The sequence below is a fragment of the Homo sapiens genome, chromosome 11, assembly GCF_000001405.40.
Source record: "Homo sapiens chromosome 11, GRCh38.p14 Primary Assembly".
In the NCBI taxonomy this organism is placed as follows: domain Eukaryota; kingdom Metazoa; phylum Chordata; class Mammalia; order Primates; family Hominidae; genus Homo; species Homo sapiens.
In genome coordinates, this window is record NC_000011.10 from 69900094 (window position 1) to 69920123 (window position 20030).

General features: G+C 56.6%; 2 annotated features.

Annotated features, from left to right (window-relative positions):
• Positions 5481-5982: an enhancer, noted in NCBI's record as "H3K4me1 hESC enhancer chr11:69720311-69720812 (GRCh37/hg19 assembly coordinates)". NCBI's record gives its function as "activates a minimal SCP1, AML or CMV promoter by ChIP-STARR-seq in naive H9 embryonic stem cells {active_cell/tissue: H9 hESC(naive)}" and the evidence as "EXISTENCE:reporter gene assay evidence [ECO:0000049][PMID:30033119]".
• Positions 9182-9683: an enhancer, noted in NCBI's record as "H3K4me1 hESC enhancer chr11:69724011-69724512 (GRCh37/hg19 assembly coordinates)". NCBI's record gives its function as "activates a minimal SCP1, AML or CMV promoter by ChIP-STARR-seq in naive H9 embryonic stem cells {active_cell/tissue: H9 hESC(naive)}" and the evidence as "EXISTENCE:reporter gene assay evidence [ECO:0000049][PMID:30033119]".

Consider the following 20030-nt stretch of genomic DNA (forward strand, 5'->3'; position numbering starts at 1 on the left):
AGAAAGAAAGAAAGAGAAAGGAAGAAAGAAAGAGAAAGGGAGGGAGGGAGAGAAAGAAAGAAAAAGAAAGAAAGAGAAAGGAAGAAAGAAAGAAAGAGAAAGGGAGGGAGGGAGAGAAAGAAAGAAAGAGAAAGAAGAAAAGAAAAGAAGGAAGAAAGAAGAAAGAAAGAGAGAAAGAAAAGGAAAGAAAGAAAATAATAAACATGGACAATATCTCACAAATACTTAGATATCGATTTCATGTTGAAATGTTAATATATTGGGTTTATTGGGTTAAACAAAATATAGGGTTAAAATTAAGTTCACCTGTTTCCTTTTACTTTTTTATTGTGGCTAGTAGAAATTTTTAAATTACCTATGTGACCAGCCCCAGGAAGGGGAAGGTTTGAAAGGCCCCCTTGCCCTGGTCTAACCCCAACCAACCTTTGCTATCCTGCCTGAGTTGCGGCCACCAGCACACCCCTACCATCCTGCACCCAGACGGCAAACACAAATGCTGGAGTGACCACCGAGGGCTGGGATTAGACTACAGGCCAGCTCCCCAGGGCTGCGGAAGCAGAATGAGTGCCCAGCTGGCCAGCCGGGGTCAGTGACCAGCAGTGTATGGCCCCGGCCACCACTGGGGTGCCTGCTAGCTGCTGCTGAGTCATAGGAACAAGAAATTTCTTGGCCAAACTACAAGGAAACTGCTTCCCCACGGCTGGTGTCCCTATTTTGACAGTGGTCAATAGGTCACCTGCCGGTCACGTCCCCAGGAAACCCAGACTTGGAAGCTGTCACAGATGCCTGGATTACCTCCACTGCCAGAAAAGGGTGTGTGTTGGAGGGGGTGTCTTTCACAATATATTTTTAATTTTGACTACCTCAGAAAAGAACAAAGCAGGCCAGTTGTGGTGGCTCATGCCTGTAATCCCAACAATTTGAGAGGCTGAGGCAGGCAGATCACTTGAGGCCAGGAGTTGAAGACCAGCCTGGCCAACACAGTGAAACTCCATCTGTACTAAAAATACCAAAAATTAGCTGGGTATGGTGGTGTGCACCTGTCGTCCCAGCTCCTCAGGAGTCTGAGGCACGAGAATCACTTGAACCTGAGAGGCAGAGGTTGCAGTGAGATGAGATCGTGTCACTGCACTCCAGCCTGGGCAACAGAGCAAGAGTCTGTCAGAAAGAAGGAAGGAAAAAAGGAAGGGAGGGAGGGAGGGAGGGGCAAAAAGTAGGAATCATCTATATTCCTCACCCAGAATTAATCATTTTTAAGCTAATATTTTAATAGCTTACTTACTTCCTTAGTCTTTTAAAATATGTATTTATTATCTTGAAACCATAGAATGAATAGATAAGAATATGTTGCCCTGAAAAAAAAAACGAAGAGAAAATGGTATTACTAATCACGCTAAAGCTCCTTCCGCCTTCCCCCAACTCTCATCCACTCCCCCTTCCCAGGGAAATCCCCTCTGTGTATTCCAGGCAATGCGCTTCATTCCTTTAAACATAGCTATTGGCACCTGACTTGTTTGGGGGTCAGGTTCTTTCTTTCTTTCTTTCTTTCTTTCTCTTTCTTTCTTTCTTTCTTTCTTTCTTTCTTTCTTTTCTTTCTTTTCTTTTCTTTTCTTTCTTTCCTTCTTTCTTTCTCTTTCTTTGTTTCTTTCTTTCTCTCTTTCTTTCTTGCTTTCTTTCTTTCTTTTTTTTTTTTTATTTGAGACCAGGTCTTGCCATAACATCCAGGCTGGAGTGCAGTGGCATGACCTCAGCTCACTGCAACCTCCGTCTCCTGGGTTCAAGCGATTCTCCTGCCTCAGCCTCCCAAGTAGCTGGGATTACAGGCATGTGCCACCACACCTGGCTAATTTTTTGTATTTTTAGTAGAGACAGCCATGCTTTGCCATGAGGGCCAAGCTGGTCTTGAATGCCTGACCTCAGGTGGTCGCCCAGCTTAGCCTCCTAAAGTGCTGGGATTCCAGGCATGAGCCACCGCGCCCGGCCTTTTCTTTTCATTTATAAGACAGCATCACATCGTGTGTATTGTTTTCAGCTTGTTCTTCTTGAGGCAATGGGCCTGGTGTACCCTGAGGTCACACTCCTCCCACCCCCACCCCATCGCTGCTCCGGACAGTCGTCTGGGACAAGCTTTTCAGAGGGCAACGAAGCTGTGTCTACCAGTGTTTAAATGAGCACACCCTCTGAGCTGGCCTTCATGGTCTTGGAGTTAACCCCACTAATACCTTCCCACCTCTGCGCAGAGGCAGAGGCTCAAGGGTGCTGCTGCCACGTTGTTGATAGAAAAACAATAGCAACGAATGTGACAAATTATGACAACTGATGGAACAGACTTTCACGAAACCATGAAAAAGAACAAGCAAAATCTATCTGAGCAGAGCCAGAGATCTCTCGATAAGTCAGGCAAGACAGAGAGAGGGCACAGCTGGGCGCGCCAGGCCTGGCTGTGTGCTCCCCGGGATGGCTGTGCCTGGAGCGTGTTTGAGGACCCGTGAGAGCGCTGAACATGGACCCTTGAGGAAGTGGTGTGAAGGGAAACTACTTCCCCATGGCTTGTGTCCCTATTTTGACAGTGGTCAATAGGTCACCGGTTGGTCACGTCCCCAGGAAACCCAGACTTGGAAGCTGTCACAGATGCCTGGATTACCTCCACTGCCAGAAAAGGGTGTGTGTTGGAGGGGGTGTCTTTCACAATATATTTTTAATTTTGACTACTTCAGAAAAGAACAAAGCAGGCCAGTTGTGGTGGCTCACGCCTGTAATCCCAACAGCTTGAGAGGCTGAGGCGGGCAGATCACTTGAGGCCAGGAGTTGAAGACCAGCCTGGCCAACATAGTGAAACTCCGTCTCTACTAAAAATACCAAAAATTACCTGTGTATGCTGGTGTGCACCTGTCGTCCCTGCTACTCGGGAGTCTGAGGCACGAGAATCACTTGAACCTGGGAGGCAGAGGTTGCAGTGAGCTGAGATCATGTCACTGCACTCCAGCCTGGGCAACAGAGCGAGTCTGTCAGAAAGAAGGAAGGAAAAAAGGAAGGGAGGGAGGACCTTGTCTCTGGAAATGTGGTCCGGGGGTTCAGGTGCAAGGAAGGGAGAATTTCACACTTCCCGAAGCATGTGATTTTCTTCCGTCTAACCACACAGGAATGGTTTGCTTTTACTTAAGGACAACTAAGCACATCTCTGAGGAATGCCGCCAGCCCCAGGGCTGGGCACGGGAGTCTGGATGGGGTGGCCTTCATGGTCTCTGGCTTCACCCTAGGAACAGAACTGGCAGCCCAGAGGCCCCTCGAGGCCCTGCTCACTGCCAGGGCGGTTGGCCATGACAATTTGAATGTGGACATGTGGAGGCCACATGCCAGCTCCAGGCTCAGTCCGGCTGCTCCAGAAAGCCCAGCCTCCAGACATGCTATATCCTCAGGCCTCCTCCAGGGAAGCCCAGGAGGTCAGGCCCAGGTGACCCGTGGGCAGCCCCCGGAAGGGGCTTCTTTTTCTCTTTTCCTCTGATGGACAAGGAAGTAGAATGTGCAAGAGTTAATGCTCGGCCAGGCGCAGAGGCTCACGCCTGTAATCCCAGCACTTTGGGAGGCTGAGGCGGGCGGATCAGGAGGCCAGGAGATCGAGACCATCCTGGCTAACACCGTGAAACCCCGTCTCTACTTAAAAAATACAAAAAAAATTAGCTGGGCATGGTGATGGGTGCCTGTAGTCCCAGTTACATGGGAGGCTGAGGCAGGAGAATGGCGTGAACCCAGGAGGCGGAGCTTGCAGTGAGTGGAGATGCACCACTGCACTCCAGCCTGGGAGACAGAGCGAGACACTGTCTCAGAAAACAACAACAACAACAAAACAACAACAACAACAACAACAACAAAATAACAAAGAGTTAATGCTGAAGCAGATCTCTGAATTCCGAGGAGCTTGGGGAGCAGCCCAGCTCCACCCTGTATTAATGAGGGGCCTGGGGCAAGTCTCTAGCCTCAATTTCCTCCTCTGCAAAATGGGGACAGTAACCACCTCACAGGACACAAAAAGGACCTAGGACTCGTCACTGGTGGTGATTGCCAGGCTTGTCCTTTGGGGGACTTCACGTCCCCAATCACCTCACTCCCTCTCGCCTTGTCCCCCTACCTTTGAAAAAAAAATATAAAGACAAGAGCCAGGCAAAGAGTCTCACAGGGGCTGTGAGCTCAGGACCGCACGTCATCCCACTCATCTGAATCTCTAGGGCTGGGAGCCGGCAATCTTCCTAGGCATATTGATTTGAGAAGCTTCCTCCCAGGATGTATGGTCAAACCACAAAGCGCACACGGGACATGGTGGGTGATAACCCACACCAGGCAGAGCCACGACCCTTGCCCCATGCTGCCTGGCAAGAACTGACCCAGCACCCTCTAGAACCCTCTAGAACCCAGGGCTTGGGGTCCCAGTGGAGCAGCAACATCAGCCCCGCTCCCCACACCAAGCTGCTCCCACAGCCTCTGGCTTCCATGGGGATCTCTCACCTTTGTAGCTTTGGCTGGAGTCTGCTCTCAGCATCCAAGGGTGCTGCCCACAACCTCGTCCCAATTTTTCATGGAGACCACTGTCCCTCCCCAGGTGCTGGTGGGCAGTATGGGCCCCCCCATCCACACAGTGTCCCCAGGTTCCAGTGGACGGTGTGATCTCCCCAATTCCCACAGTGTCCCCAGGTCCCAGTGGACAGTGTGGCCTCCCCCATCCCCACAGTGTCCCCACTTCCTGCTGGATGGTGTGGCCTCCCCATTTCCAGTGTCCCCAAGTCCCAGTGGATAGTGTGGCCTCCCCATTTCCACAGTGTCCCCAGGTCCCGGTGGACGGTGTGGCCTCCCCATTTCCACAGTGTCCCCAGGTCCCGGTGGATGGTGTGGCCTCCCCATTTCCACAGTGTCCCCAGGTCCCAGTGGACAGCGTGGCCTCCCCCATCCCCACAGTGTCCCCAGTTCCTGGTGGATGATGTGGCCTCCCCATTTCCACAGTGTCCCCAGATCCCGGTGGACGGTGTGGCCTCCCCATTTCCACAGTGTCCCCAGGTCCCAGTGGATGGTGTGGCCTCCCCCATCCCCACAGTGTCCTCTGGGCAGGCCTGGGTCAGGCTGCATTCCTGACCCTGAGGTGTGGAACTCTCTCTCCCTGAGCTTTTGCAGAAACGTGGGGGCAACTTGCTCTCCTTCTGCAGGACTCAAAGGTGGGAGATGCTGGCCTAGAGCAGCCAGAGGCTTCCTACCGGGTGACGGGGAGAGGGTGCCTGCCCCAGAGTGAGGCCAGCAGAGACCAGACTCACAGAACAACAGAGACCAGCCACTCACTCAGCTGTGAGCCAGATGCACATAGTCTGTTTGAGGTGATTTCTTCACTGGCTACCAAGAAAAAACAAATAAAAATACATACAAAGCCCACTGGGCTGAGTCCTCCACCTGGAGAAAGCACTGCAAATGTCACCAGTGTTCAAGGGTCCTCCTCCCCCATCCAGCCCCCATCCCACCACCTTCTGCTGTGCGTCCCACAACCCTGTTCCCTAGGGGAGTGGTGGGCACAGAAAGCCCTCGGGTCTGTCCTCTTATCTTTTGCAAGCCTAGCTGGCCTCTGCTCCACCCCAGGCCTGGTTCTGGAGCACGCGTGTAGAAATGGGGCTGGCTGCTACGGCGGGCTTATCTGGGCCTGCAGGGCCGCCTTATCTCCCACAGCTTCTCATTGCCAGTCACTGGTTTATGCTTTTATGAGTGCAGTTTGCTCCTTCTAGGGAAGCACTGAGCGATCTCTGAAGGTGCCTGGCCATGGGGGCACAGGGTTCCTTCCTCCTAAAGCGCTGGTCCCATGCCAGCCCTGGCTCTGCAGCTGCTGTGGGTATCTTGCATGGGTGGGTGCCTGAGTGGAGGCTGTGGTGGTCTCAAGGGGCTTTTGCCAGAAGTGATCAGAAGAGGAGCCTTCAGGAGGGAAACCCCAGGTGGCCCCCACACCTTCTTTTGTTTGCCCATTTGATCTGCCCCACACCGGACACACTTTGATCTCACCAGCCCAGTCTCTAAGGTCCTGCCTGAGAGGGTGGGCCAAGTCCTGCACTGGAAGCTGGGAGGCTGGAATCAGATCTTCACACTGTGCCTCCACTGTCCTCTGAGCCTCAGTTTCCTCACCTGTAACATGAGCAGAAAGTTTGCAGCCACCTCGCCTGGCAGGATGGCCATGGGGAACCACAGGAGGGGAGGGGGCAGCGTCGAGGGTCCCATGGCCAGCCAGCATGGGCCAACCCATGTGTCACAGTTCATAGAAGGTCTTAGGAGCCTGGTCCCTCCCCCTCCCCCTCCCCCCAGGATGTTTGTAGGGTGAGGCAACCGGCAGGTGCCTGGTTAAGCCCTGGGGTCTGGAGAGCGGTTTCTAACTCCAGGCCCCTGTGAGCTGCCAAGACCTCCACCTCCTCCCTAGGGCCCCCGGGGGTCTGTTTGCTCTGTCTGCTTTTGAGAATCAGATTATAATGGGAGCCTGGGTCAGTTTCTGGATTTGTGGCCTCAGGACCTCCCAGAAGGAGCAGAGCTGAAGGCCAAGAGCCTGGCTCCTGTCCTGTCCTGTCACTTACTGCCCTGTGACCACAGGCAGGTCACTGCACCTCTCTGAGTCACAGCTTTCTCATCTTCCAAGCGGGGAGAGTCCTTGAAACAGGCTGCAACCATTAGATTCATTCATTCAACAAATATTTGCTGAGCATCTACTATGTGCCAGGCATGTGTGCTGGGGACACAATAGAGATCTAAACAGACAACAAACAAGATATTACTTTTAATGACAAAACTGTTTTGCCATTCATTTTAATGGCAAAAACTTTTAACAGCCATTACTTTTAATGGCAGAAACTGCAATTATTTTCGCACCAACCTAACACATAAGTAAAATGTATGGTGATGACACAAAGCAGGAAGGTTCAGTAGGGAATGGAGACAGGCACGTCTGGGGTGGAGGTGGAAACTCAATTTTCAATCGTGTGGCTAGGAAAGGCCTCTCCAAGGCAGGCGACAACTGAGTCAAGACCCAAAAGAGATGGGAGAGTGAGATGTGGAGATTCTGGGGTCCAGACACAATCACGGCATGAGCTAAGGCCCTGGGACAGGAGCTGGTGTGTGCAGAGAATGGCAAGGAGGCCAGAGGGACAGAAGGTGAGGGATCAGTACCAGGTCCAGAGAGGAGGTGGAAGGGGCAGGTAACTGGTCATGGTATGTCTTTGGCTGTGAAGCCAGTGGGATGGAGCCTGGGGGATTCTGAGCCCAAGAAAAACAGGATGGGTTTATGGGCTAGGCATCTTGCTTTTTTTTTTTTTCACACAGGTGACAACATTCTGTCACCCAAGTTGGAGTGCAGTGGAGGAATCCCAGCTCACTGCAACCTCCACCTCCCAGGCTAAGCCTTCCTCCCACCTCAGCCTCCTGAGTGGCTGAGACCACAGGTGCACACCACCATGCCCAGCTAATTTTTTTGCACTTTTTGTAAAGACGGGTTTTTGCCATGTTGCCCAGGTTGGTTTCAAACTCCTGAGCTCAGATGATTCACCCACCTCGGCCTCCCAAACTGCTGGGATTACAGGTGTGAGCCACCACGCCGTGCCTAGCATCTTGCTTGAGAGATGAATTCACCGCTGGGTAGAGTAGACTGAAGGGGCGGGCCAGAAGCAGAGGAAGCAGGCAGGAGGCCCCTGCAGCCACTCGGGCCACAGTTGGAGCTCAGAGACTAGAGGCAGCAAAGAAGGAGGTGGGGCCCAGCGGCTGCACACTGGGCCTCCATGGAGGCCAGAGCAGGTTGGCGGATGGACGTCCATGCTGGGGCTGCAACCCAGAGGGGACACAGCGTCGAGCCTGCATGGGGGACCAGGCACCATTCTATGCATTTCACATGTCCTAGACTCAGAATCCTTTCTACCAAGAAGGTACTCTTACCACACTTTCAGGGTGGGGAAACTGAGGCAGGGAGCGGCCACAGAGCTTCAACTTTAGGTTGGGCCCAGCATTCATGCCCCTCAGGGCTCCTGTCCCTGACAAGGAGCTCCTGGGAGGTGGTTTTCCTTTAAAACACTGCTGAGCACATACCGTATGTGGGGCACTGGGGTGTGTCTCATACAGACCTTTTCTTGTTTCACCTTCATCCCCACTCTGTGATCTGCAGGGCCGCTCAGTAAGCCCAGAGGCGGACACCAAAACATGAGAAGTATTAAAAAATGTTGTTTTTTAAAAAATTCATAAAACACACAAACACCAATGTAGCCGGAACTGACATTATCATGTAACAATATTTTTATCATGAATTTTGTATGGGAGGTATAGTGGGTTCAACTACATCCCCCAAAAGATACATCCACCTCTTAACCCCTGGAACCTCAGAAGCTGGCTTTGTTTGGAATCAGGATCTTGCAGATGTAATGAAGGTGAGGATCCCTAGCTGAGATTCGTCTGGATTAGGGTGGCCCTAAATGCAATGATGTGTGTCCTTATAGGCGAACAGGAGAAGAGACACAGAGACAGGGCACAGGAGAAGGCAGAGGCTGGAGCATCTCAGCCACGGCCAAGAAACGTCTGTAGCCCCAGGAGCTGGAAGAGGCAGGAATGTCCCTCCCCTAGAACCCTTGGATGGAGCGTGGCCCTGCCGACACCGTGATCTCAGACTTCTGGCTCCCAGGCTACAAGGGAATGGATTTCTGTTCTAAGCCACCAAGCACGTGGTCATTCGTTACACATCACGGGAAACTCATACGGGGGGTGTGCACCCAGCAATTTGAGTCTGTGAAGTCTTAACCCAGCTCTGGGTGAGGTGAATATGTTTTACAGGTGCAGGAAACCGAGGTCTATAGAAAACCAGCACCTTGCAAGCGCCACCATGCTGGTCAGCTCTGATGTGGCCAAGGCTGGTGCCAGGGTGAGGCGAGGGTGACCTGGACTTTGGAATCCCTCAGCCCTGGGCAGGTCTCTTCATCTCCCCAGGTGGCCACTTATTCATCTGAAAAATAGGGCTAGCCCCGGAGACGGTGGGGAAGTTGCAAGGAAGGAATCATGGCTGCGCCCCCGCCGGGGGCTGGCCCAAAATTAGTGCTCCAGAGCACTCATAGTCCACCCTGAATAATGATGCTAACTGTAAGCACTTACTGTGCACGGGGCCAAGCCCCTGACCTGCAGTGGCACAGGTAAGTGTCACAAAAAGTGGACACACGTGCTGTTGGACGCCAGCTCCTCTCTGGGTCACCATGAGAGATTCCTGAACCTCAGCTCCCTTGTCAGCGCCCTTCCAGGAGGGAGGGAGGTAGCAGCACTACCCCCATCTAACAGAGGAGGAAACTGAGGCACGAGAGATGAAGACACTGCCCACGTCACGCTGCTGGTCAGTGACAGAGTGGGACCGGGTGCAGTTGTCCAGCAGTGCACCTAGATGGGGGAGAGGAGCTTGGTGAATATTAAAAGAGGTTTTGTCTGGGAACAGAGAGGCGGCTGCTGGGTGACCCCAGCCTCCCATCCAAAGGCGGGCTGTGGGGTGACTGGCTGGACCTCCTCCAGACCCTCCCATCACACGTGTGCTCAGCCGGCTCAGCCAGCAGCAGGCGCCCACCCACCACGGGCCCCTTCTCTGAGCCAGCGTGCACAGCTTCCTGGAAGGGACACGGAGCGCACAGATGTGCACAGCAGGTGGCCTGTTCTGCTCTCCCTCCAGCCAGACAGGGCCGGGACCCAGGACTGGCAGGAAGACCTGGCCAGCCATGGCTGTGAACACTGAGGAAACACTTCCCGGAGCAGCCAGGGCCCTGGGAGCTGGAGTCGATCCCCACATCTGGGCTCCTCCTGGAGCCAACCAGGGCTGTCTGGAAGCCTGTAGGGAGATCCACCGAGGTTTCGGGAGAGTCAGTGCCCGCCCACATCCCCTGGCCCCAGGATGAGGCCGTGGCTCCCCACAGTCCCTCCCACAGGAGCCTCTCGCCCTCCCACTCACACAGTGTGGCCAGGCATGGTGGCCCAGCCTGCCCTGAACTAAGAGCTTCTGCTCGGTCCCCAGGGGCCATGGCCCTTCTGTTAGGGGCTGCCGCCCTCCTCTTGCCCACTCCCCACACCCCGGGGTCCCTGCAACAGGCCCCCACCCAAAGGGCCTGAAAGTCTCCACAATGACATGATGGCCAGCAGAGGGCGCATGGCCCTGGGGACCTCGACCCCTCTCCAGGGGACACCCTCTCTGGCTTTAATTTCTATTTTAAGGTGGGCTGTGACTATCATAAGTAGGTGGGGGTGAGACCTCAGCAGCAGTCCCAGCCGAGGGGTCCTGGGGATCCCCAAGTGCTCCTGAGGCCCGGGACAGGCCCCTCAATGTTGCCAGGAAGTCCCACGGGCCCACGTCTTCCCCTCCAGCTCTGTGGAGCGGGTGCTGTGCCCTCGTTTACTGACAAGGAGGCTGAAGCTCAGGACTCTTACGGTGACACAGTGAGGGCTGGGTGTCCACCAGACATGGGCCCACAAGACATCCTCAGTGTGGGTGCTGACGGTCACTGAGAAGCCCTGGCCCAGTGGAGCTTGTGGTGGGACGGAGGGTGGGGGTCAGTGTCTAACCACAGGCCCATCCTAGCAGGACTCCAGCAAAGACACCTTCCATAGGGTTGGGTCCTTCCCCACCCCTGGGAGTCTTGACCAGTCCCAGGAGAGGCCACTTTCTCCCGACCGGGTCCTTTACCTCTCTGCCACTGTCTCCCTCCTGACAGGGTCCTTTACCTCTCTGATCCCTCCTGGTAAGGGAAGTAGAATCATTGTCACTGAGGCAGTCAGGAGAGCAGCTCCCCCAACCTTGGCAGAGAAAGGGACAGTCCCTCACCTGCAATCCTTCTGCCAGCCCTGGCTTGCGTGGTGTCAAGGGACATGAGCTTGGGGAGGCCACTCATTCCTTCTCCCGGACGGAAGATTTGGGTGGGAGGCACCTCCTAAAAATGACGTTTGGGCAGCAGACATGATGAGGACAGGGCCTTATGAGTCCCCTCCCCAGGACACCTCAAGACCACTCGGCCAGGAATGCTGACGTGCCATGCACATTCACTTGGGATCCTGAACCTCCCTCCCAGGTCTGTCCTTCCCCCTGGCCAGCAGAAGCCACCAGGGGCCACTCCTTCCCTTCCCCTGAGAGGTCAGAAGCAGCGTGTGCTGCGTGAGCCAGCCCGCAGGCTCCGGGCAGGTCCGCCTGGATCTGAGCTCGGCAGTACTGGGTGTCTGCAGCGAGGGCACACGGGGCCATGAGGGGTTTTCCCCAAATCTGAAAACAGCCCCTTCCGCAGACGGTGCCTGGGAGGGGAGCCAGAGGGAGCAGGTCCAGAAGGACGGGACATCGCCACCGGCTGGACAGCACTGAGGAGGCCGACGGGAGAGAAGGTCACACCTGACTGAAGCAGAGCTGGCAGCCTGGAGATCCCTGATTCTCTCCTCCCAAGTGGGGGGACAGGAGGTGGCGGAGGCTGCAGCGGCCCCAGAGAGCAGGGCAGAGCAGAGTGCTGGGCCCAAGCAGGAAGGGTGGGTTTCACTCGGGAGCTGCAGGCACCGCGCCTCGCAGGACTCACTTTGACCACAGTGGGAGGATGCATCGGCCCCAGGGAGGCCAATGGGGAGGCCAGCGTGAGCTCCAGTGGAGGTGCTGGCACCCGGACCTGGGGCTGGGCGCGGGGATGGTGGGAAGCGAGCATTTAGATTTAGGAGGTTGAGTGCCCAGGGTGGGGGTGTTGGGGGATGTGGCCCTGAAATGCCAGCTGGTTTTGGCTCTGGGCCAGGCCAGGGGCCGAGGGGGGTGGACCCAGGACAAGAGTCCCATGCCCCACCTGGCATTCCTGCAGGGGGAGGCCAGGCAGAGAGGCACAGTTTTCTGGCTCCAGTGAAGCGGGGGCCGGCAGTGTCTTCTGCTGGGATGCGATAGAGATGTAAACAGACAACTAACAAGATAATTAAGTAAAACGTGTGGCGATGACAACAAACAGGATATTCCATAAGGAATGGGGGCCTTGGGTGAAGGTGGCCCAGAAGGTGAAGTGGGTTTGGAGGGAGGGTGCTGGTTCCGCTTTGGGAAGACACAGAACTCAGGTTCCAGAGGACACACAGGTGGGACCTCCCAGTGGGCAGTTAGACCAGCGGACCCCAGCCGGGGGAGCGACCTTCACATCTGCTCTCCCTGCTGTGGCCCTGCTGGGGCCACAGTGTGCACATTGCCATCTGCTGCCCACCTAACAGTGGCCCACTCTGGCCCTTCCCCCTCATCCCCTACTATGTGGAGCCACATCGTCCCAGCCCCAGCACTGGCCCTGAGTCCCCTGGCCTTGGCCCAGCTGGCCTGGCTAGGACGCCATGTAGGGCAGTGTCTCCTGAGGACGGAACCTGCACTTGGTCACCCTCAGGGATGCCTGGCACACAGTTGGCGCTCAGTACATGTCCGATGAATGAGAGCCGCTCCGTGGACATGCGGCAGAGGCAGCACATACCGAGCCATCCCCTGGCTGGAACAAGGGCCCAGGTGGGGCGTGGATCACTTGCCCTGGTGTCCACCTGACTTGACCCCAGGCCTGGCCCAGAGCCAAAACCAGCTGGCATTCCAGGGCCACAGACCCAAGACCCTAAAGTCCACCCTGGTTGTCTCCATCAAGCATCTCCTGTTTGTCCAGAGCTGTGAGCCCAGGGCAGGTGAAAGAGGCCGAGCCACAGCCCTGCCGTGGGCCCAGGCCGGTGCACGAGTGGGTCACGCAGCAGAGGGAGAACCGGATGTGGTCTCTAAATGGAGTTATGCGTTGAGGGACTCGGATGGCACCAAGGCACACGGGGGAGCCGGTGTGGACTCTAGAGCAGGGCAGTGCTGTGCCGAGGAGGGTGCTGTGCTGGAGAGCAGCTCCCTGCCTCCCATGATGGAAACCGAGGCCGGGGCAATCCCAGAGGAGGCTGCTGCAGCATTAGGGGACCCGCTGTGGCTCTCACCAACCCGGTGGCCCCCGGGAGGACTCTGGCCTCCGGGCAGGGCTTGTGAGGAGAAGACGGGGTGCACACTGCCATCTGCTGCCCATGCAATGGGGCGCACACTCCCAGGCACCACGTGGTAGGACCTGATTCAGATGCAGCTCCTGGGTTCACAAACTTTGAATTTGGGCTCTGGGAGGAGGTGACTGCTCCCTTCCCTTAGTGATAACAACTTCCAGGGCCCTGCTGGGTGGCCCCTTCGGCTGGTGGGCTCAAGGGACTGCAGGGAGCGGGTGGGCCACCGGCCATCTTGCTGCCAGCTGGGCCCTGCTCCTGCCCTCACAGAAGCCCCAAGTCACACCTTTCGGGGTGAGATCCCAGATCCTGCATCTCGGGGCTAGAAAGGGACCCCTCTAAGAAACCCAGCAGGTCCCTGGGACTCCACCCCAACCTCTTGCTTCCTGCCAGGAGGTAAACCTCAGGCTTTCCTATCCCCAATGTCTGGATAAAGAAACAATCTCAGCTATCTTGTTAGTTGTCTATTTACATCTCTGTTATGTCCCAGAGGTTCTGCACCTGGGGGGCACTTGCCAGGAGCCAGGCTGGAACCCAGATCCCGGGCCCTGTTGCAGTGCCTGAATTGTGGGCCAACTGCTGCCCGAGACTCCCACTTGGGACTCGAGGACCCCCAAGAGCCCCATCTCTGGGGCAGGGACTCCCCAGGGGCCGTGGGATAGCCAGTAGCATCATCGGTTCACTGGGCAGATGGTGACGGCCCACCGCCCCTGAGTGCCCAGGTACTGGGCTAGGCAGAGAAGGCAGGAGCCTCCCTGAGTCCCTCCTCCTTACGGCCCCACAGTCCTGCCCCACCCCACCCCTGCCAAATGGGACTCTTTGGGGCTGACCCCCAGGGACCCTAGTTTTTATGATCTCCCACCTAAGTGGGAACATGGGCCAACATGATGGGGCAGGTGTGGCTGGGACCCAGGCCTGGGCTCCCCCAGGCTCCTCCTTGGATCTGAAGCCAGATCCACCGATGGGAAATAAGCCCTTTGGAGCATGACGTTGCCAGGGAGGGGGTTGTGGGGACAGGAGATGATAAGGCACCCACACTCCGGGGGTCCACCCTGTAGAAACTCTGAGACCCACCTCTCTGTGACCATCAGGCTCTCCCTGGCCAGAAGCAGGGAGCAGCGTCCAGGCTGGGCCCAGCCCTGCAGCCCCAAGGCTCTCACTGGGAACACAGGGTCTCAGGCTAAAATAGGTGGAGCCCCTCAGCCGAGCTCAGGAGCCCTTGGGCAGCACTGGGAGCTGCTGGAGCCAGCGCCTTGTCTTCCCTCTACCTGTCTAGGCCCCAGAAGGCTGCAGCCAGGGAGGGGGCTGGGCATCTTAAGGAGGGCCGGCTCTCTCTAGCAGAGTCCTGGGAGAAGAGGCCAGGGCCTTCACCGACAGCGCAGCACCTCCAGTTTCCGCGGCACCTCCACGGCCCTCTCGCCTAAGCCTCTCCACCCCTGTGTGGGGGGCTTGCTGTGGTTCTGCTTTACAGGGGGAGAAACTGAGGGCCCAGAAGGTCAGGCTGCGGCTGAAGGTGCAAGGACTCAAAGGCTGACTCCGGGGTGGGGACGGGTTTGGAATTTCCTGTTCCTCCTCACCTTTGAGAGGTGTCCTGGCTGGGCTGTGCCAGGCTGGGAAGTGTCTCCGGAGGCTCCACACCCACCCACACCTGGTATTTTTGTTCCCAGGTGGGTCTGATGCCAGGAGGATGTGGTTAAGCTCGAGGCCCTGCTGTCTCCTTCCATGCCCGGGGTCAATGGATCCTTATCTGGCAAGATCTTATCTGTGTGTCCTTGACAGACTCTGGAGCAGGCTCCTGGAGGTACCAGGAGGCCCAGGTGGGTAATCACGGGTGCCAAGAAGTGGCCTGTGGGGGGGGGGCCCTCCATCTTGGGACCCAACCCGGGACCCCCCTGCCCCCGAGACTGCTTCTCAACCATGACTTCCCCTTGCCCTGCTCCTTGCTGCCTGCTGGGAGGCACAGGCAGTGTACTAGGAAGCCCAAAAGAGAAGCCCAAAGCAGAACAGGGCATCCTCCAGGGCCCAAGGGGAGAGGCTTTGGACCTCACTTACACAAACTGGGTGGGAGCTTCCTAGCAGCCAAAGCAAAGAGGAAAGAAGTTGAAGGAAGGTGGAGGTGGTGTAAGAGGTTGGTCTGAGGCATGGACCCCAGGATGCTCCCCAGAAGTTGTCTGAGTCATCCTTTGGACATAGCAGGACTCAGTACATTCATTGAACAAACAAGGCACTAGACACTCATTGCTATATTTTTAAGGCCCCTCGTTGAAGTGAATCACAGCCTCGTTCCCAGTCTCCTGGGCTTTCACCCTGCCCCACGGACGGGATGCTGGCTCTTCCCTGTCGCCCCGCATTGTGACTGGCTGTGTTCCACATGGTGCAAACTTATTCCCAATTGACCCGTGGGGTCTGCTGGAGCCCTAGGGCTGACCACAGGGGCTGCAGGGCATGGTTGCCCTGGGAGCCCTGCAGCTCAGGTCCACTTAGCACTTTCTGGAAAAGCAACCGCCTCTAGGGGGCAGCACAGTGTCACCGGGAAAAGCCGGACGTGGCTTCGGGGACCTGGGCTTGGATCCAGGATCCAGCCCCTGCCGCTTCAGCAGTGGAGTGATGGGGGCCAAGTCACTTCCGCCCCAAGCCTCAGTGTCTCCCTGCACCCCTCCACCCCCTATAGAGTGGGACTAAGAGTGTTCTGAGCCAGGCTTCCAGTGAGGTGGGGGTGGGGAGGGCAGGACAGACGGGTCAGTGTCCTCGCTCCTGGCCCCTTTTCACCTCTGATGTTGAAGTTAAACATTCAACAAATTATGAGAAAATAAAGCAACAGTTTAAAAATAGGAGAAAACGTATCCCAAAAGAATGTTCTATGATTTCCGGCTGGGTCACTCTTGGCAGGCTCCAGCAGGGAGGAGCAGGGCAGGGCCGGGGCATGGCTCAGGGAATGGGGGAGCGCTCTCCCTAAGACCCCAGCCCCAGCCTCCGCCTTGTCCTCAGGCAGCCAGGAGCAGGCACAGCTGCCTCGCTTCCCCTGGGAGAACGCTGGCTCCTTCAACTTCCCCCCGAAAGGCATCCAGAGGCCTCCAGCTGGCCCCCTCCCCTCTTTCCCCCAGCTTTGGGGTCTGGGCAGAGTGAGGCTGGAGTCCACCTTCCGGGCATTGGGAGTACAGGAAACAGTCCCAAGGGACCTCTTTCACTGAGAAGGCACAGAATCCCTTCCTAGAACGGGATATGTGTTTGTTTCCAACGGCTGCTGCAATCAATGCCTGCAAACTTACAGGCTGGAAATGGCACAAGTGGATTCTCCTGACAGTTCTGGAAGTCAGAAATGCCGCTCATCAGCCGGGCATGGTGGCTCACACCTGTAATCCTTGCACTTTGGGAGGCCGAGGCAGGCAGGTCACTTGAGGTCAGGAGCTCAAGACCAGCCTGGCAAACATGGCAAAACCTCATCTCAGCCAGGTGCAGTGGCTCACGCCTGTAATCCCACCACTTTGGGAGGCCAAGGCAGGTGGATCACGAGGTCAAGAGTTCAAGACCAGCCTGGCCAACATGGTGAAACCCGTCTCTACTAAAAATACAAAAAATTGGCTGGGCATGGTGGCTGGCACCTGTAATCCCAGCTGCTCAGGAGGCTGAGGCAGGAGAATCACTTGAACCTGGTAGGCAGAGATTGCAGTGAGCTGAGATTACACCACAGCACCCCAGCCCTGGTGACAGAGCAAGACTCTGTCTCAAAAAAAGAAAAAGAAAAAAAAGAAGAAAAAAGGAATGCCACTAGTCTAGAATCAAGGTGTCTGCAGGGCTACATTTCTCCTGGAGAGTCTAGGAGAACCCAAGCCTTGTCTTTTCCAGCTTCCAGAGGCAGCTTGTGCTCCTTGGCTTGTGGCCCCTTCCTCCATCTTCAAAGTCAGCAGCACTGCCCCTCCTGGGAAGATTTTCCTCTCTCTCCCTCTCCCTCTCTCCCTCTCTTCTATCTCTCCCTCTCTCCCCTCCCTCTCTCTCTCTCTCTCCTTCTCTCCTCTCCCTCTCTCTCCTGAGCCATGCCCTGGCCCTGCCCTGCTCCGCCCTGCCTCTCTCCCTCTCTCTTCACTCTCTCCCTCTCTCTTTTTCTCTCTCCCTCTCTTCTCTCTCTCTCCTCTCCCTCTCTCCTCTCTCTCTCCTCTCCCTCTCTCCCTCCCTCTCCTCTTTCTCCTCTCCCTCTCTCTCTCCCTCTCTTCTCTCTCTCTCCCTCTCCCCTCCCTCTCTCTCTCTCCCTCTCTTCTCTTCTCCCCCGCTTCTCTCTCTCTCCCCCTCTCCCCTCCTCTCTTTCTCTCTCTTCTCTTCTCTCTCCCACTCTCTTCTCCCTCCTCTCTCTCCCTTTCTCCTCTCTATTTCTCTCTCTCTCCCTCTCTCCTCTCCCTCTCTCTCCCTCTCTCCTCTCTCTCTCTCTCCCTCTCTCCTCTCTCTCTCCCTCTCTGGCCCCCTCCCCTTCTCTCTTCTCTTCTCTCTCCCTCTCTCCTCTCTCTCTCCGTTTCCCTCTCTCTCTCCCCCGTCTCTCCCTCTCTTCTCTCTCTCCCTCTCTCCTCTCCCTCTCTCCTCTCACTCTCTCCCTCTCTCTCCTCTCTTCTCTCTCTCCCTCTCTCTCTTCTCTGCCTCTCTTCTCTATCTCCCTCTCTCTGTTTTCTCTTTCTCCCTCTCTCCTCTTTCTCTCTCTCCCTCTCTCTCTCTCCCTCTCTCCTCTCTCTCTCCCTCTCTCCTCTCTCTCTCCCTCTCTCTCTTCCCCCTCTCTTCTCTCTCTCCCTCTCTCCTCTATCCCTCTCTCTCCCTCTCTCCTCTATCCCTCTCTCTCCCTCTCTCCTCTATCCCTCTCTCTCCCTCTCTCCCCCTTCTCTTCTCTCTCTCTCCCTCTCTCCTCTATTCCTCTCTTTCTCCCCCCCCCCCCCGCTTCTTCTTGTCACATCTTTTCTGTGACTCCCTCCTGCCTCCCTCTTACAGGAAGCTGGAGGTTACCCACGACCGTCTGGGATCATCTCCACCTCAGAATCCTTGCTCCGTGACATCGGTAGAATGTCTTTGGCCACGGAAGGGAACATGTTCATAGGTCCTGGGCACTAAGATGTGGGGGATTCCATTACTGGTGGGGGGTTCCATTATTTGGTTGACCACCGACCTGGTACACAGTGGGTGCCCCTGGGATTTGTTGTAGCAGGGAGCACTGGCTGCAGCAGGAGCCTGACCCTCGCGGGAGCGTCTAGCCAGCCTTGGTGCCAGGTAGGCCGTGGCATTTAGCTCTCCGGCCCAGAGCCTCAGCAAGGCCACGGCGCTCGGCCAGAGGAACACAGCCACCCAGCGGAGAGCCAAGACTCAGCCCAGACGTCCCAGACGCCAGGCCCTTTCCTGGGTGCCCTCAGCACGCCCCACCCCCACCCCGTGAGGACGTCTGCCCGGGCTCCGGATGCCCCAGGGCCTTGGACCACCAGGGACTGTGCCTTAGGGGCAGGGTGACCCTGCGGTGCTGGGCGTTTGACACGGCCTTTCCCCCTGGAAGCCTCTGTCGCCCTCGATACAATGTGAAGAGTTGGGCTGTAGGGTCAGGCGGAGAGATTGGGGTTCACATCTGGATTCTGGCATCCACGGGCAGAGCGACCAGGACCAGTCTGAGAAACGGGGTCCTCACTCTAAACGTCCGGACGGCCCCTGCCTTAGAGGGAGTGGGGGATGAAATGTAGCAATGTCCCCTGCACATGGAGAAGCCTCCTCAGGCGAGGCCGGGGGATCAGGCAGCTCGCGCCCGGAAGGCTTCGCATATAATGCACCGTCTATTTCAGCTCGCCGGGGTCTTGCTGCAAAGTTGCGCAACAGAAAATGTGAGAGACGCGGCAGTCACTCCACTAAGCGGGACAGGGCCAGGCCCGCCGCCAGGGGGCAGCATCGCCTCTCCCGGCCGAGCCTTCCTGGGAGTCCCGCGGGGGCTGCTCCCCAAAGGACAGAGCTCCGGGTTCATGGGGAACGGGGTGCCGAGAAAGCCTGCCTGGCCCTCCCAGGCCCCACTTCCTTGTTCTTACAAACCTAAGGAAGAGTGGGCTCCTGGGATTAACTCGGCGTCACGAAACCCTGGCCCTGAGGGACGGACCTCTCAGCCTGGGTCAGGCCAAGGACATCTGAGTGGCCCCACCGCGAACTCCTGTGAGCCCCTGGAGCGAGCAGTGGCCTCGAGTCTGTGCCCACCTCCTTTCACGCCCCTCTTCCCTGGCTGGCCATCTTGGCATCCCTCCTCCCCTGCCACTCTATCTTGGCCTCCTGGGCCGGCTCCCACCCCCCGGTTCCCATGCTTCCTCCCCGCAGAGAGGGACCCAGAGGTGCCACCACCTTGGGGTGACCAAGTCCCAGTGCTATGTTCGGCCCCAGGGCTCCTTCACTTCACTCACAGGCGCCTTTCCCTGCAGCTCACACAGGCACAAAGTAACACACGTGCCCGCACACTCGTGTATACACGCACACAGGCACACACTACTGCTCACATGCACATAAGTGCAATGTGTCCTCACATGAACATGAGTGCAATGGGAACACTCTTACACACCAGTTCACAGACACCCACATGCACACACTCCACCACACATGCATACACACAGACAGGTACACACTCCTCCAGGGCTCTTGGGAATAGTCCTCTGTTTTGTCACCAAGCTCCCAGGAAAGCTGCCCCTCCCTGCTGGCTCCAGGGCCTGTCACCAGCCATCCAGCTCTTGCCTGGAGTGAGTCCTCCCTCCTCAGGGTGAGTCCTTCCTCCTTGGGGTGAGTTCCCCTCCTGGGGTGAGTCCTCCTTCCTGAGGTAAGTCCTCCCTTCTCAGGGTGAGTCCTCTCTCCTCAGGGTGAGTTTCCCTCCTGGGGTTAGTCCTCCTGCCTCTGAGTGAGTTCCCCCTCCTCAGGGTGAGTCCTCCTCAGGGTGAGTTCCCCCTCCTTGGGTGAATGCTCCCTTCTCACGGTGAGTTCCCCTCCTAGAGTGAGTCCTGCCTCCTCTGGGTGAGTCC